At 43.2% G+C, this 18,391-nt stretch overlaps 1 protein-coding gene across 7 annotated transcripts in view, besides 3 other annotated features; it reads left to right on the forward strand.

Annotated features, from left to right (window-relative positions):
* Window positions 1-18,391, forward strand: part of ARHGEF37 (Rho guanine nucleotide exchange factor 37) — an 83,344-nt gene that overhangs the window by 27,008 nt on the left and 37,945 nt on the right. For 3 of the 7 annotated variants that reach the window (NM_001001669.3, XM_017009460.2, XM_005268448.2), the window contains exon 1: window positions 2,866-2,992. The exons of 2 other annotated variants lie outside the window; for them this stretch is intronic. The gene's annotated coding sequence lies outside the window, so the exon portion shown is untranslated. Of the gene's footprint in view, window positions 1-2,865; window positions 2,993-10,893; window positions 11,011-17,791; window positions 17,816-18,391 lie in introns of those variants that run through there. 2 more of the 7 variants (XM_006714784.4, XM_005268447.4) reach the window with 2 other exon arrangements.
* Window positions 2,527-2,656: an enhancer, noted in NCBI's record as "active region_23378". NCBI's record gives its function as "activates an Ori minimal core promoter by ATAC-STARR-seq in GM12878 lymphoblastoid cells {active_cell/tissue: GM12878}" and the evidence as "EXISTENCE:reporter gene assay evidence [ECO:0000049][PMID:35858748]".
* Window positions 2,737-2,916: a silencer, noted in NCBI's record as "silent region_16498". NCBI's record gives its function as "represses an Ori minimal core promoter by ATAC-STARR-seq in GM12878 lymphoblastoid cells {active_cell/tissue: GM12878}" and the evidence as "EXISTENCE:reporter gene assay evidence [ECO:0000049][PMID:35858748]".
* Window positions 4,874-5,043: an enhancer, noted in NCBI's record as "experimental_82232 CRE fragment used in MPRA reporter constructs". NCBI's record gives its function as "activates a minimal promoter by MPRAs in K562 erythroleukemia cells, with activity observed for both the introgressed and non-introgressed 5:148963154 variant alleles {active_cell/tissue: K562}" and the evidence as "EXISTENCE:reporter gene assay evidence [ECO:0000049][PMID:34662402]".

Consider the following 18,391-nt stretch of genomic DNA (forward strand, 5'->3'; position numbering starts at 1 on the left):
CATGTATTTTCTTTTCAAAATACATAAAATTTAAAAATGGATCACTCTGTCAAAGGTAGAAGTGAAAGCGAACCCTTTTTTCTTTGGATTAGTGTCACCGAGGGCAAGGTGATGTCCATTTCTTTGTAAATGTTCTAGAAATCAAATGGATTCCTTTGTTAGAGGTTTCCAGTCAAAAGCAAACATCTCTCCAGAAGACTGAGAAAATAATGCCCCTTCTAAAGTCAACAAGTAGATTGCCGCTCTTCAAAATCTGTGTGACTAGGGTGAAAGATGGTGGAATTAGTGGCAGTGCATTAGAAATGCCACTCAAAATAACTGAGTCCTAAAATAGAATCAGAGAAACATCAGTTTCAAATGAAAAATATTATCCAGCTTATTTTGGTCTCCTTAAATTGCCAAGTAAATACTTGGGATCCTATAATACAGCAGCTGCCCCGGGGAGTGTTGACACTTACGTCTAAAACCACAGAATACTCAAGCAAGGAAGATGGGCACACATTACAAGTGCAAAGTATTCCATCACGTACTTCTGAAAAAAAGCGCAAAGTAAAACATGTAAAGCAGATGATTTCACACATTCAGGAAAAACTGGTCAGGCACATACACACTTTACAGGAGTGTGAACTGAGGCGTTGAGCACTCACAAGACCCTCACCTGGAAACAATCAGGAAGTCTGATCTAGGAATCAGTCTCAGCTTTGGGGTCAGCTCTTCACTTCCCGGCTGACTTTGGACAAGCCACTTAGCCACTCTAAGACTCACTTAGTTTCTTTATCAGTAGGTTAGAATAGACAAAATATCAAAATTGAAGAGAACCTTAGAGATCACCTCAATCAGTTTTTAACTTGTACCAGACTTTTCTTTGAAGCATCCCTAATAAGCTTCTCTGCTTGAATGTTTACTTTTAGTGACAGGATATGCTCTCCAGGCAACTGATGTTATTATTATTATTATTATTATTTTTGGGACAGAGTCTCACTCTGTCGCCCAGGCTGGAGTGCAGTGGTGTAATCTTGGCTCACTGCAACCTCTGCCTCCAGTGCTCAAGCAATTCTTCTGTCTCAGTCTCCTGAGTAGCTGGGATTACAGGTGCCCACCACCATGCCCAGCTAATTTTTGTATTTTTAGTAGAGACGGGGTTTCAACATGTTGGCCAGGCTGGCCTCGAACTCCTGACCTCAAGTGATCTACCCTCCTTGGCCTCCCAAAGTGCCAAAGGGATTACAGGCGTGAACCACCGTGCCCCGCCAACTGATGTTATTTTTGAAATACTCAAATTGTTAGAAAAGTTCTTCCTTACATTTTAAATTGCAATGCATCTCCTTACAGCTTTCTGCATCCTGGTGGCCTCTAAGATCATACAGGTTAGGTCTAATCCATAGGGCTACTTTTTTGAAAAGTCCTCAGCTTCCCTTGCTTTTCTTTTTTCTTTCTTTTCTTTTTCGAGACGGAGTCTCGCTCTGTCACCAGGCTGGAGTTCAGTGGCGTGATCTCAGCTCACTGCAACCTCCGCCTCCAGGATTCAAGTGATTCTCCTGCCTCAGCCTCCCAAGCAGCTGGGATTACAGGTGTGCACCACCACGCCCAGCTAATTTTTCTATTTTTGGTAGAGATGGGATTTCACTATGTTGGCCAGGATGGTCTCGATCTCTTGACCTCGTGATCTGCCCCCCCCTCAGCTTCCCAAAGTCCTGGGATTACAGCCGTGAGCCACCGCGCCCGGCACCCTTGGTTTTTCTCTTCTGCAAGCTATACCACCCCTCTCCCCTTCAGTTGCCCTCATCTGTCACATTCAAGAGGAGACACTTTTCTGGTTTTCATGTTTTTCTGAGTGTAGAGTGGTGGTTAAGCAGCCTGAACCCTCAGATAGTCTGAATTCGAATACTGGCACTGTCACTTAGTAGTTGTGTGTCATGGGCAAGTTATTTTCACCTCTGTAGCTTAAGTTTCTCTCTCTTGAAAATGAGGATAATAATAATGATACCTATCTCTTAGAGAAATTGTGAATGAGATAATTGAGACAGTACAAGTAAAACATTTAGTATAGCGCCTGGCCCTTAGTAAGCAATATGACTACTACCAGCAGTAATAATAAATAATAAGCCCTAAATTAAGCCCTAAAAATGAAAATAAGAATAAAAGAAGTGGCAGAATGAGAAAAGCTAATCTAGTCCATTCCTGACGCTACAAACAAGGTTTGGTTGCCCCGATATGAAACTTTACATGCGTTTCATAGCAACTATCACTTTCAATGGTGGGTTTAGTGTCTTGCACAGGAGCCCAATAAGGCCAGGACCTTGTCTATCGTGTTAACTGTTGTGTTCTCTGTGCCCAGAACAGTGTCTTGCTCCCAGTAGAGTGAAAGAATGGACCAACACCGTCATGTCATGGAAGCGACTGGCCGACTTGGCTAAGGTTGTGCAGGGCTCCCAGGAGAGCTGGGGCAAGAACCAAGGGCTCCTCGGCAGCCAACACTAAGAATTAAATTGAGGCCCAGCCCTACAGTTTGGTGATTCGGGCAGGAGCAAAGGTATCCAGTAATACCGGGGTCAGCATTCCCACCGGGTGGCCTAAATGCCGGCTCCTGTTTTCTGGATGACGAGCCCGCGGAGAAGGTGGCTTAATGAGAGGCCGCGGGAGGGTGGGTGCCGGCACGTCGCTAAACTCCGCCTGCAATCCTTCGGGTTGGCTGCCAGCCAGGGCACGGTTCCGAGCCGGCCGGGGCTGACTCCGGGAGCAGCGAACAGAAAACAACCTGGCTCCAGAAAGACAATTAACAAAGGCTGGAGACCAGCCACCCCCTCGCGGCGCACGCACGCAGGCAGCTGCGTGGGCATAGCCGCGCCCGCCAGCGCCCTCGGTGGGCACAGCCACCCGGAGCGGCGCGGGTGCCGGGAGCTGGGCGACGCGCCCCTCCTGCCCCGGCTGCGCTGTTGCCCGGGCGGCCGACCTCCGTGCGTGAGCGCCGGCAGGCACCTTGCGCGCGCGGGTGAGTCCGCTGGGCGTTTGGGGCCTGGTCAAGCAGGATGGGGCTGGAGAGGGGTGCAGGAAACAGCTGCTGGGAGGATCAGAAAAGGGAGGTGGGACAGAAAGGCAGGATGCGACGACCTCCCGGGTCCCAACTTGCTTGGTAGCTAGCTTTGTGTCTTGAGCCTTATGAGAATGTAAGCCACCTGGTCCATATGGCCTACCCTAGTCGTTTTACAGGTGGGAAACTGAGGCCCAGGGAGGTTAGCCGGCCTGGAAAAACATTATTATTCTTTGTTCCTGTTTCTCTCTGCCTTCTTCCGTGCAGGATTTCAGACAGCTTTTAGAAAGAATGCATACATTATAACAACGGAAAAATACAAACAATGGTAAAGAATCCTTGCCAAGCAAAATATAATTATGAATAGACAGTCAAGGCCAGGAAAAAAGAGAACAGAAATCCGTGATCCATAGGTGAGGTGACTTGGCTAAGGTCCCTCAGAAAAGTCGTGCCAAAGCTGGGACTAGAAGTCAGAACGTCCGGCTTCTGAACGCCAGAAACTTACAGTGGGGAAGCAGACAGCCTGCCCAGGCACTGGTTCTTAACCTTCTGGGGGTCCCTGACCCCTTAGAGATCTGTGTCCACTCCCAGCAGAAGGGTTCACACAAAGCCTTGTGCACAGTTTGAGATTTGACATGAATTCCTGCTGTAAGGAATGCCTGCAGGCTGCTACTCAGGCAGGGTGGTTTCAGAGCACTTTCTTTGCTCCTTTGAAGGGAGGCAGCTGGTGGAGGAGTACCTGCTGTGCGTCCAGACAGCCAGCTGTGTGATCCAGGAAGCATAGTTTAACCTTTTCAAGGCCTAGTTTTATGTGTAGACGGGGGATGAGAGTGTCTGCTTCATCCTCCAGGTTATTGTCAGACTTAAGAATGAACATAAAGGCTAGTGCTTGACATAATATATGCTCAATAAAAGTGCTGACGATTATAGGGTGACTATAGTTTACAATAATCTATTGTATATTTCAAAATAGCTAGAAGAGAATAATTTGAATGGTTCTAGCATAAAGACAAATATTTAAAGTGATGGATATCCCAAGTACACTGATTTGATCTTTATAAATATATTAAAGTATCACAGGTACCCTGAAACTATGTACATCTATTATGTACACAGTTTAAAATTTAATTTAATTAATTAAAAAAAAAAGTGATGACACACAAAATCATCAAAGCTGTGGGAATTAGGAAAGGGTGATGACCTGGAAGAAATTGGGCTGTATCTGAAATAAAATACAATTTAAAAAATTATAAACATGAAAAAATAAAGTCAGCCCTATTATGACTTACAGACCACACCACATACCTTCGTGATGGTATCCTAAATAAGGGTGCAGCAAGGTACTACCCTCAATATTTGACTCCAAGTCAAAAGCTGAAAGTAGAAACTACCAGATACTGTAACAAGGAGTGTTTACTGGGCTTCACTTGCCTCTTTCAAATGGGGTCAACACCCCGTTTTTTTGTTGTTGTTTTTTCTTTGTTTGTTTGTTTTAGACGAAGTCTCGCTGTCTCCCAGGCTGGAGTGCAATGGCACAATCTTGGTTCACTGCAACCTCCGCCTCCCGGGTTCAAGCAATTCTCCTGCCTCAGCCTCCCAAGTAGCTGGGACTACAGGCACACGCCACTATGCCCGGTTAATTTTTTGTATTTTAGTAGAGATGGGGTTTCACCGTGTTGCCCAGGCTGATTGCAAACTCCTGAGCTCAGGCAATTGCCTACCTCGGCCTCCCAAAGTGCTGGGATTACAGGCGTGAGCCACTGTGCCTGGCCTATAGAGTTTGTTTTTAAATGAGAGGAAAGAGGACATAAACTGGGACCTGAGCAGCACCCACCCTTATTCAGCAATAGAGCCTCAGCTGAATTTCTGCCAGGGAATAGGAGTTGCTGGCAGTTGGCTCACATCCCTCTTGGATCAGCAGATTACTGTGGTAAACAGTGCCTTGGCTGATTCTGCCCTAGATCAAATAAATGGCTTTTTATTTAACTAATGAGGTAGGGAATGTGTTTTCATGTGCTGTAACAGAAGCAAAATGGCATTTGTAGAGCTTGACTGTCCAAAGCCTATTGCTTGTTTATTAATAGGCTGAAGAATTTGTTTATTTGTTTGTTTATTTAGAGACAGGGTCTCCTCTGTCACCCAGGCTGAGTGCAGTGATGCAGTCACAACTCACTGCAGCCTCAACCGCCCAGGTTCAAGCAATCCTCCTGCCTCAGCCTTCTGAGTAGCTGGGACTACAGGCATATGCCACCACACCTGGCTAATTTTTTACTTTTTGTAGACACGGGGTCTTGCTATATTGCCCACGCTGGTCATGAACTCCTGGATGCCAGTGATCCTCCCACCTCAGCCTCCCAAAGTGCTGGGATTACAGGCATGAGCCACTGTGCCCAGAGAATTTTATAATTCTAATAATTGTTATTATTTTCTTAATTCCCTAATACTGGAAGGCTCAAGAACTTTAAATCTATGGATCCAAACTTGTGATGACAGAGCCTGGGCAGACTCACTTATCTATAAAAATAACTGCTTTAAAAAAAAACTGTGTTGTCTCCTTCCTCTTTTGGAAGACCTTTTTAGGCCTTCCAAATAGAACTGGGGAAATATGGCTAAGGACAAACAGCTGCTGTTTGATTTGGGTTAAGACACATACCACCTGTCCTTTCCATGTATTTATAAAGGGGAGTTTTTCCTCCAGGAAAGAGAGAGAGAATGTGTATGTCTGTCTGCGTATGGGAGAGGGGATGTCTGTTGCTGTCTTTCCGCCTCACTTCCAATCATTTATTTATCAACACAGAGAAGTCCTTTTCTGTAAGCACAGTGACTTGGAAAATTCCTTCCCTTTTTGGCTCTGTGGCTCTATTTTGTTTCACAGTAGTTTCTAAAATATTGGGATGTTTTTTCTAATTTTGACTATAAACTGTTCTTTATATGTTTCTTTTCTTTTTCTTTTTTTTTTCTCTTGAGATGGAGTCTCGCTCTGTCGCCCAGGCTGGAGTGCAATGGCATGATCTCTGCTTACAATAACCTCCACCTCCTGGGTTCAAGTGATTCTCCTGCCTCAGCCTCCTGAGTAGCTGGGATTGTAGCTGGGATTACAGGCATGTGCCACCACTTCTGGCTAATTTTTGTATTTTTAGTAGAGACAGGGTTTCACCATGTTGGCCAGGCTGGTCTTGAACTCCTGAGCTCAGATGATCTGCCTGCCTTGGCCTCCCAAAGTGCTAGGATTACAGGCATGAGCCACCATGCCCGGCCTTCTTTATATGTTTCTATATTGTTTATTTAGTTATATAATGAGCAAGAGCCTCTTTCATTATTTAAACAATTTTTCTAAATGTTGTCCAAAGAATATATATGGGTGGCAAATAACCACTTGAAAAGATACTCAAGATCATTACTCATTAGGGAAATGCACATTAAAACCACAGTGAAATATCACTTCATAACTATTAGGATGGCTAAAATGAAAAGATTGGCTCTACCAGATGTTGACCAGAAGGTAGAGGAACTGGATCTCTTATATACCATTGGTTGCAATGTAAAATGGTACAACTACTTTCAAAAAGATCTTAGTTAAATACACACTTAACTTATAAAGTTAAATATACACTTATCATGTTATCCGGAAACTTCACTCCTAGGTCCAGCTTTATTGTAATAGTGAAACGGGAAACAAACAGTTGTTTATTCAGTGTGTGAAGAGACAAATTGTGGTATATCCATATAACAGAATTCTGCTAAGCAATGGAAAGTAACGATGTATTGATACATGCTTCCATACGAATGGATCTCAAAATAATTTTTCTGAAAGAAAGCCCCAGGCAAAAAACACTACATAGTGCATACTGTATTATTTATTTATTTATTTAGAGACGGATTCTTGCTCTGTTGCCCAGGCTGGAGTGCAGTGGCGTGATCTTGGCTCACTGCAACCTCCGCCTCCTGGGTTCTAGCGAGTCTCCTGCCTCAGCCTCCCAAGTAGCTGGGATTACAGGTGTCTGCCACCACGCCCAGCTAATTTTTTGTATTTTTAGTAGAGACAGGATTTCATCATGTTGGCCAGGCTGGTCTCGAACTCCTGACCTCAAGTGATCCGCCTGCCTTGGCCTTCCAAAGTGCTCGGATTACAAGTGTGAGCCACTGTGCCTGGCCTGTATTTTTCATTTTACATAAAATTCAAAGGGAGTTGCTATTCCATACCTGAACTCAAACTTTTTGGTGGCTTCCAAGAAGAACCAAGAGTTGTGTATGACCATATCAGTCTAACTCCAGTTGCAACAATGTCATTGACAATTTGATATTTATTCTGCCAGTGTTTGCCCATGTCTTTCATTCATTAATTCAATTAATTGAGCACCAACTAAATGCTAGATCTAGAGTAAACACTAGGTAATGCACTGATGAATAATAGACACATGATCCCTGCCCTCATGGAGTTTCCATTATTTTGAATGAAACTCTGAGTCATACAACAAATAGAATAAACAAAATAATTATCATGGGAAAGGAGTGGTTCTTTTGAAGTGTGATGGAAATCAGTGATAGACTTGTCTGGGTTTCAAGCAGAGAAGTAAAGTGACAAATTTTATGTTTTTCTGTTTTTTGTTTTTGTTTTTGAGATGGAGTCTTGCTCTGTTGCTCAGGTTGTGCAGTGGCACAATCTCAGCTCACTGCAACTTCTGCCTCCCAGTTTCAAGTGATTCTCCTGCCTCAGCCTCCCGAGCTGGGACTACAGGCATGCACCACCATGCCTGGCTAATTTTTCTTTTAATTTTCAGTAGAGATGGGTTTTCACCATGTTGGCCAGGCTGGTCTCGAACTCCTGACCTCAGGTGATCCACCTGCCTCGGCCTCCCGAAGTGCCGGGATTACAGGTGTGATCCACCATGCCCAGCCCAATTTTATGTTTTTGAAAGACCACTCCACTCTGATGCTGTGTATCCAGTCAGGAAGCTGTTGTACCAGTCCAGGAGAAAGGTGGTGGAGGTTTAGACCCAGATGGTCTCAGAGTTGGAAAGCACAAATTAGTAGATATCTTTAATAAAACAAAACAGAGCCCAGAGGTGGACACTGATCAACACTCTTTGAATTTAGTAGTTTTATCACTTTTTAGTCCTTATTACTGTCCTGTCTCTGCCCTCTACACCAGCCTCCACCACTGCCTCTTATTCCATACATGTAAGTATGTCACAAGAGACTGACAACACCTTCCTGGTCCAGATACACTGGACTACAGCATTCCTTTGATCTACTGATCTAGTTGACTGTCAGTAAGAGAATGAGGAAACTCTGGCATGACCAGTTTTTATTAAATTAGCCTATGCTGACTCCAGATGATCTCTGTTTCCCTTTCTAAGGGCTAATGAACTATTTGTTGTAATCAAGTGGCAGAAATCCAGCTCAGAGTGGCTTAGGGAAAAGGGGGATGAGGAATAAAAATGTATTCACTCATATGAAAAAGGCAATCAGTCTCTATCATGGCTGAAATGAGTCATGCCATCATTTCAGTCTCTCTCTCAGTCTCTCAGCTCTGTTTCTATGGTATTAGTCTTATTCTCAGTAAGGCTCTGATATATAGTTCTTCTTATTACTATGATTAGCTGTTTATGGCACCTGCTTAAATATTATGCATCTAGATCGGCCATGTGTCTTTAGACAACTTCATACATCTGATCAATGGTAATGCTACCCTTTCCATCTTAACAATAATAGAAGCAAAAAACCACAGCTACTATAATTGAGAGTTTACCATGTACCAGGCACTCTATTAAATATTTTACTTGGATTATCTTAGGAAATCTTATAACAACCCTGTAAGAAAGGTTATATAAATATCCTAGGAAAGCCAGCTAATGGATTGCAGAATCAGCATTTGAAATGACATTTTTCTGGCTCCAGGGCCTGGGCTCCTAACCTTCACCACACCTCTCACAATCAATCTTTAGGACTAAGAAGAGGAAAGCACTGCCACCAAATAGTGTGCCTCTCTCTTACTTTTTCTGAACATCAGTCTTAAAATATGCTTGGTAGTGATAGTAGGGATGGGACTTTGGAAGTTATCCTTATAATTTTGTTGATTCCAGCTCTTTTGGGGGTTTTAGAGTTCTGGAAGCTCTTTGTACAGGATCCTCCCTTCTGACTATGGTGTCTATCTTTATAAACCAGGCTTGGTAGCCAGGGTCCCTATGTGCACATTCTTGTTTCTGTAGGTCTTCCCTCCCTTTAGTCTTTTTTTTTTTTTTTTTTTGGAGACAAAGTCTCACTCTGTCGCCCAGGCTGGAGTGCAGTGGCATGATCTCAGCTCAGTGCAACCTCCGCCTCCTGGGTTCAAGCGATTCTCCTGCCTCAGCCTCCTGAGTAGCTGGGATTACAGGCGTGTGCCACCACTCCTGGTTAATTTTTTTGTATTGTTAGTAGAGACAGGGTTTCACCATGTTGGTCAGGCTGGTCCTGAACTCCTGACCCCGTGATCTGCCCGCCTTGGCCTCCCAAAGTGCTGGGATTACAGGCGTGAGCCACGGTGCCCGGCCTTTTTGTTTGTTTGTTTGTTTGTTTGTTTGTTTGCTTTGAGACAGAATCTTGCTCTGTCAGATTTTCTTTCTTACAGGGTTGTTATAAGATTTCTTAAGATAATCCAAGTAAAATATTTAATAGAGTGCCTGCACTCCATGCCAGGCTGGAGTGCAGTGGCATGATCTCAGCTCACAGCAACCTCTGCCTCCAAGGTTCAAGCAATTTTTGTGTCTCAGCCACCCAAGTAGCTGAGATTACAGGCGTGTGCTACCACGCCTGGCTAAGTTTTCATATTTTTTAGCAGAGATGGGGTTTTGCCATGTTGGCCAGGCTGGTCTCGAACTCCTGGCCTCATGTGATCTGCCCGCCTGACCTTCCAAAGTGCTGGGATTATGGGCATGAGCCACCATGCCCGGCCCCTTTATTCTTCAACAGGGTCCTTTGCTCTCATGATGTCTGAGCTTCACCTTTGACAGCTTTCTATGAACCATTCCTGGAGTCTGAGACCAGATTGTTTTCCTTTTTCCCCCCTTCCTTAAATGTTTAAATGGGCTCCTCCTGGGAGTAAGAAAGGGAAAGAAAAAAAATTAAAAATAAATAAATAAAATGGCTCCCCTTTAAAGCCTTGGGCAGCTAGCTGATGGATCCTCAACTTTCCCTGCCCAGACATTTTATCTTCTGAAAGAACTTTCAAATGATAATTTCACTTTCCCCAGGGATCAGCTTAGTTCCATTTTTCCATTCAGTTCCTCCAATTGGTCAAAACTAGGCCAGGCTCAGTGGCTCATGCCTGTTATCCCAGTGCACTAGGAGGCCAAGATGAGAGGATCACTTGAGGCCAGGAGTTAGAGACCAGCCTCGGAAACAAGTGAGACCCTGTCTCTACAAAAAGTTAGAAAATTAGCTGGGTATGGTGGCACATGTCTGTAGTCCCAGCTATGTGGGAGGATTGCTTGAGCCCAGGATTGCATCACTGTGCTCCAGCCCTGGGTGACAGAGTGAGATCCTGTCTCTTAAAAAAAAAAAAAGTTTTGAATATTGTTTCCTCTTGTTACTTTTCTCTCTTGAAAGGGATTAAATAATCAGGATGCCCATATCATTTTTTAAAAGTTTTATTATGTTTTTAATTGACACATAATGTTTTATTAATTAATTAATTAATTTATAAGACAGGATCTCACTCTGTTGTCCAGGCTGGAGTGCAGTGGCATGATCACTGTTCACTGTAGCCTCAACTTCCAGAGTTCAAGCGATCTTCCCACCTCAGCATTCCAAGTAGCTGGGACTACAGGCATGCACCACCATGCCTGGCTAATTTTTTGTTTTGTTTTGTTTTTGAAACACAGTTTCCCTCTTGTTGCCCAAGCTGGAATGCAGTGGCGAGATCTCAGCTCGCTGCAACCTCTGCCTCCCAGGTTCAAGTGATTCTCCTGCTTCAGCCCCCCGAGTAGCTGGGATTACAGGTACCCGCCATCACGCCTGACTAATTTTTGTATTTTTAGTAGAGACAGGGTTTCACCATGTTTGCCAGGCTGGTCTTGAACTCCTGACCTCAGGTGATCCTCCCGACCTAAGGTGATCCTCCCGTCTTGGCCTCCCAAAGTGCTGGGATTACAGGTGTGAGCCACCATGCCCGGCCGCCTGGCTAATTTAAATTTTTTTTTTTTAATAGAGATGGGGTCTCACTGTGTTTCCCAGGCTGGTCTCCACCTCCTGAGCTCAAGCAATCCTCCCACCTTAGCATCACAAAGTGTTGGGATTACAGGCATGATCCACTGTGCCCAACCTACATCATGTTTTAATTTAAATAGTTCCTCTGCTTTTAGTGGAGTGAAACCTGGAACAAATAACCAGATATTTTAAATACCTTATCCTAATTGTAGACCCACTTTTTCCTGATCTTTGTATTTCTGGAATCCTGCAAAATGCTTGGCATGTAGTAGTTGCTCCAAATACTTGTTGAATGAATGTGGGAATGCCCAAATCCCTCTGTGCCAGTGTGAACAGAAGAGAAGAGAGAGAAAAGAATTAACTCAGTTTTATTCTGTTCTAGAATCAGAAGCAGTAGCTTGCTGCAGAAGTATTAACTGCAGATCATTCAACTTTTTTTTTTTTTTTTTGAGATGGAGTCTCACTCTGTTGCCCAGGCTGGAGTGCAGTGGCACAATCTTGGCTCACAGCAACCTCTGCCTCCCGGGTTCAAGTAATTCACCTACCTCAGCCTCCTGAGTAGCTGGGATTACAGGTGCACACCAACATGCCTGGCTAATTTTTGTATTTTTAGTAGAGACGAGGGTTCACCATGTTGGTCAGGCTGGTCTCGAACTCCTGACCTCGTGATTGGCCCACCTTGGCCTCCCAAAGTGTTGGGATTACAGGTGTGAGCCACCGCGTCTGGCCTGGCTATTTTATTCTTTTTTTTTTTTTTGAGGCAGAATTTCACTCTTCTTGCCCAGGCTGGAGTGCAGTGGTGTGATCTTGGCTCTTGGCTTACTGCAACCTCTGCCTCCCAGGCAGAGAATGGCTGCCACCTCAGACTCCAGAGTAGCTGGGACTCCAGATGTGCACCACCACACCCGGCTAATTTTTTTGTATTTTTTATAGAGATGGGGTTTCACCACGTTGCCCACTGTGGTCTCAAACTCCTGAGCTAAAGTGATCCTCCCGCCTCGTCCTCCCAAAGTTCTGGGATTATAGGTGTGTTCTGTAATTTAATTGAGGTGGTGGCTACACCAATCTACACTTAATAAAATACAATAGAACAATCAAACACAAACATGTATTATACCAATGCCCATTTCCTGGTTTTGATGTTGTGCTATATTTAAATAAGATGTAACCACTGGGGAAACATGAGTGAATAGTACAGAGGACCTCTTTTAGGTCTTTTTTTCTTTTTTGAGACAGAGTCTCTCTCTGATGCCCAGGCTGCAGTGGCACAATCATGGCCATGCCTTGCATGGCTCTCTGTGGTCTCAACCTCCTGGGCTCAAAACAGTCCTCCTGCCTCAGCCTCCTGAGGAGCTAGGACTTTTGTGTTCCATCTCAAAAAAAAAAAAAAAGTTGAATGTTCCAGAGTTAATACTTCTGCAGCAAGCTATTGCTTCTGCCCAGGCTGGTGTCAGACTCCTGAGCTCAGTCAATCCACCCACCTCGGCCTCCCAAAGTTTGAGGATTACAGGCGTGAGCCACCGTGCTCGGCCAGCCTTTGTCTTTTTTTAAGAGATGAGGTCTCTCTCTATTGCCCAGGCTGGAGTGCAGTAGTGCCCTCATAGCTCACTGCAGCCTTGAACTCCTGGACTCAAGTGATCCTCCCTCCTCAGCTTCCTGAGTAGCTGGGATGATAGGTGTGAGACCATTTGCCTGGCTTCTCCCAGGCTTTTAAGCTGCTTTGTCCTGAGAGTATTGCAAAGATAGTGAATAACTTAAGCTATATAGACAGTCGCCGACTTATGATGATTCGACTTTATGAATTTTTGACTGTAAGATGGTGCAAAAATGATACACATTCAGTAGAAACCGTACTTTGAGTACCCATACAACTATTCTATTTTTCACTTTCAATACTGTATTCAATTAATTACTCTAGATATTGAACACTTTGTTATAAAACAGATTTTTGTATTAGATGATTTTGGGCAACTGTAGGCTAATCTAAGTGTTCTAAGCATGTTTGAAGTAATCTAGGCTAAGCTATGATGTTCACTAGGTGTCAGGTATATTTCATACATTTTTTACTTATACATTTTTCAACTTATAATGGGTTTATCAGGACATAACCTCATTGTAAGTCGAAGAGCATCTGTATAATATTTTGCTTTTACATTTTTATTTTGAAATAATTATACATCAAGGTGAGGTTGCAACAATAGCAAAGGGAGGCCCTCTGTACTGTTCACCCATGTTTCCCCAATGGTTACATCTTATTTAAATATAGCACAACATCAAAACCAGGAAATGGGCATTGGTATAATATACGTGTTTGTGTTTGATTGTTCTATTCCATTTTATCATGTGTAGATTTGTGTAGTCACCACCTCAATTAAATTACAGAATATTCTGTTGTAGACAATAACACTGTCACCACAAAGTTCTCTCTGTTACTATTCTTTTATACTCACACCTACCTGCTGTCCATCCCCATCTCTAACCAGGCAGCCACAAATCTGTTCTCTATCTCTACAATTTTCTTTGTTATTAAATGGAATCACACAGTATGTGACCTTTAAAGATTGGCTTTTTTTCACATAGCATCATGCCCTCGAGAGCCATCCAAGCTGTTGCTGTATCAGCAGTTCGTTCCTTTTCATTTCTGAGTATTCAGTGGCATGGATGTACCACTGTTTGTTTAACCATCATCTATTAAAGGAAATTTTGGTTGTTTCCAGTTTTTGAATATTACAAATAAAGCTTCTGTGAACACTTATGTACAGGTTTTTGTACATAAGTTCTCTTACTGCGGGATGTCCAGACATGGAATTGCTGAGTTACACAGAAAGTGTATGTTTTATTTTTGAAGAAACTGACAAACTGTTTTCCAGAGTGGCTGTACCATTTTACGTTTTCTTGTTTTTTTTGGTTTGTTTGTTTTTGTTTTTGTTTTTGTTTGAGATGGAGTCTCGCTCTGTCATCCAGGCTGGAGTGCAGTGGCACGATCTTGGCTCATCACAACCTCCGTCTCCTGGGTTCAAGCAATTCTCCTGTCTCAGCCTCCTGAGTAGCTGGGATTACAGGTGCCCACCACCACACCCAGCTAATTTTTATATTTTTAGTAGAGACGGGGTTTTGCCATGTTGGTCAGGCTGGTCTTGAACTCCTGACCACAGGTGATCCACCCACCTCAGCCTTCCAAAGTGCTGAGATTACAGGTGTAAGCCGCTGTACCCAGGCATTTTACATTTTCACCAGCAGTGTATGAGAGATCCAGTTTCTCCACATTCCTGCCAGCATTTGATATTCTATAATATTTTTTTGGTAGCAGCTTTACTGAGCTATAATTCATATCATATGGTTTGCCCATTTAAAGTGTACAAATCAATAGTTTCTAGTATATTCACAGACTTGTGCAACCATCACCACAGTTTAGAACATTTTCATCATTTCCCCAGAAAACGTTGCATCCTTCAGCTCCAAACTCCAATTCTCCATCCCCTCAGCCTTAGGCAATTGCCAATCTTTCTGTTTCTATCTGTTTCTATAGATTAGCTTATTCTGGTCATTTCATATAAATGCAATAATAAAATATGTGACCCTTTGTGATTGCCTTTTTTCACTAAGCATAATGTTTTTAAGATTCATTCATGTTGTAGAACATATGAATACAGTTGATCCTTGAACAACATAGGGGTTGGGGTACCAACATGTGCCAGGGAAAATCCACTTATAACTTCTGACTCACCAAAAACTTAACTACTGATGGTCCACTGTTCACTGGAAGCCTTACTGATAACATAAACAGTTGATTAACACATATTTTGTATGTTATATGTATTATATACTGTATTCTTAAAGTAAGCTAGAGAAAAGAAAACGTTATTTAAAAAATCATGGAGAAGAGAAAAAATGTTTACTATTCGCTAAGTGGAAGTGGATCATCATAAAGGTCTTCATCCTTGTGGTCTTTGTGTTGAGTAGGCTGAGGAGGAGGAGGGGTTGCCCTTGCTGTCTCAGGGGTGGCAGAGGCAGAAGAAATTCTGTGTATAAGTGGACCCATGCAGTCAAACCCATGCTGTTCAAGGGTCAATTGTACTTCATTTCTTTTATTGCTGAATAGTATAGATATTTTTCCTTTAAACAATTATTAGTTTATTTTTCATGCTATTTTAAATGGATATATAATAGTTGGGGAGTATATGTGATATTTTGATACCTGTATACAATGTGTAATGATCAAATAAGGGCATGATGTTTTTAAAGAAATAACAATGAGGTTTTTCCATTACACAGGCTATAATCTAAGGGATAACACATGCTGCTACAGAGAGGTTTTTCCTGCTAGGAGGTCTAGATTGCAATTAACCTAAGTGCAAATTAATGCTGTTGTAAGTCTTTAGTAGTTCTCTGTAAAGTATTTCTCATGATTTTATTTATTTAGCAACAGTTTTGAGTTGTGGAACCTGAATAGCTTTCCTGAAATTCTATGGGGATCTTTCTAGAGAAGCTGTGCACAGGTAGTGAATGTTGCCATTCAGGCCAGGGACAAATCAGCAGATCACGGGGTGTGTTTGGGAGCCAGAATACAGCTATGCATCAGACAGATTTGTTTCAGGATCTTTCTGGGCCTTTGCCCTCTGTACATCCCTGCCCTCCCCAAACATCCATTTATGTACTCTCCGATCTATGGAACAATGGCTTCGGCCTAAGACAGAAACTTCAACAAATACTAATACATCCATAAGAACCATTTATGTAGCAAATAGTATTAATCATGGGCATGGTGAGGCACAGAGGAGGATACAAGATGAATAGGTGCTCATCTTGCCTCCAAGAGCTTAGTGTCTAGCCAGGAAAATGAGCACGCTGAGCACAAGGTTACATGGGATCTGTGCCATTTTAAATATTATGAAGTATTTTAACCATCCAGAAAATAACAAAGCACAAAACAACAAATACCCACGTACTTACCTCCTAGCTTTGTTTAATTTTAACATTTTTGCCATGTATCCTTTGTACTTTTTTAAACAAAGTATCTCAGCTACTCAGCAATAAAAAGGAAGGAACTATAACTATTGATACCCACAATATACATGAATCTCCAGGGAATTATGCTGATTGAATAAAGCCAATCCTAAAAGATTACATACTGTGTGATTCCATTTACATGAATTTCGGGAAAGGACACAATTATAGAAATGGAGAACAGGTTTGTGGTTGCCAAGGATTAGGATAGGATGGGGACTGGAGCGAATTAGGTGAAAAGGCAACATGAGGGATGTTGTGTAACAATTGTGTATCTTACTGTGTTCATGTTTCTTTTGTTGTTGTTTTTGTTTGTTCGTTTGTTTGTTTGTTGTTGAGACAGGGTCTCGCTCTGTCACCCAAGCTAGAGTGCAGTGGTGCAATCTTGGCTTACTGCAACTTCTACCTCCTGGGCTCAAGCAATCCTCCTACCTTGGCCTCCTGAGTAGCTGGGACCACAGGCATGTACCATCATGCCTGACTAATTACAAAAAAATTTTTTCTGTAGAGACGAAATCTCACTATGTTGCCCAGGCTGGTCTTGAACTCCTGGGCTCAAGCAAGCCTCTTGCCTTAGCCTCCCAAAGTTCTGGGATTACATACATGAGCCACTGTGCCCAGCCCTATTTGGTACTTGTAAAACATTATACAGGTCTGTATTTTTTGTCCTAGTGTCTTTCCTCTTTCCCTGTTTCTGTTTTGGCCTGTATCTGACTGGTTGGTTATCTGACACTCTTGGGGTCTACTCCTGCTCTTGTTGTTTCTGCTGGTACTCACTCACAGGGGCATTCTTATATTTTTTATTCTAAACTCATCTTCAGGACATGGTTATCTGTGGCCTAGGTTAAAGACGTGTCCTTCTGGAAACATTTTATTTTGTTGTGGCCACTCAGAATTCAGGATTTCTTTTTGTATAAATTTATCAGCTTTGGGCCACCTGGACCACATGTGTAGCATTGATTTGGACCTAAACCCAGTGAAGGCAGGTGTGTTGTTACGAATTTATGTTATGAAGGAGACCTTTTTTCCTCACCCAGAACCCAAGCCAGGATGAACTGTCTTTGTCATCTTCTGTGTGGATAGCTGCATTTTTTTTTTTTTTTCCTGATCCACCATTTCACAGAAGTCCTTGTGGCTGGGGGGGTCCCAGTTCTGTGAAGGAGCTTGTCTCCTATTCCTACCTGGGCACTAATGCCCAAGTCTCTGGTTCACTGAGTTTCAAATACTGTCTTCCTTACCCACCCCTCTACTTTGGGCCACAGCTGCATCAGCTCAGCTGCTCCCCACCGTAGTTTTCAATTCCCTGTTTGAGGGCCCTAGTGATTTCTTTTCCTCCCTTACAAGATCTGTCATGCAGTTAAAAAGTTTATTATAACTGATCTAGCATTCCTAAGTGTTTTGTAGTAGGAAAGTTTTTCAGATCATCTTGTCCATGGTATTGCCCTTTACGCTTTATTATTATTTTGAGATGGAGTCTTGCTCTGTCACCCAGGCTGGAGGGCAGTGGCACAATCTCGGCTCACTGCAACCTCCACCTCCTGGGTTCAAGTGATTCTCTTACCTCAGCCTCCCGAGTAGCTGGGATTACAGGTGTGCACCACCACACCCGGCTAATTTTTGTATTTTGAGTAGAAATGCGGTTTTACCATGTTGGCCAGGCTGGTCTCGAACTCCTGACCTCAGGTGGTTTGCCCACCTCAGCCTCCCAAAGTGCTGGGATTACAGGCGTGAGCCACCGCACCCGGGCCCTTGATACTTTATAAGTTAGAGATAAAGGATTGCAGGAGTTTCAGAGAAGAAAAGTGCAGCTGGTGGGAGTGAGAAATGAGGGGAGGATCAAGAGTAGCCTTAGAGAAGTGAATGCTGGGGGATAGGAACACAGGAGGGGGCATGGCAAGTGCAAAAGCAGGAAATGCCAATGCAAGTATGGAGAAGAGCGCTCAACTCTCTTTCCACTGCAGTACAACCTGTGAAGAGGAAATGAAGTTAGAGCCTGGAGTGCAGTCTGTGAAGGGGAAATGAGGTTGGAATCAGATCACTGAGCAGCAGGAAGCTACTAAAGTCTTACAGCAGGGCACACCATGTTCACAAGCTTTGTTTCAGGGAGTTTAAACTGGAAATGTGTCCAGAAAGAATGGGTGTGGTGGTGGCAGGAGAGCAGTGTGG

Source organism: Homo sapiens, chromosome 5 (assembly GCF_000001405.40).
Source record: "Homo sapiens chromosome 5, GRCh38.p14 Primary Assembly".
NCBI lineage: Eukaryota > Metazoa > Chordata > Mammalia > Primates > Hominidae > Homo > Homo sapiens.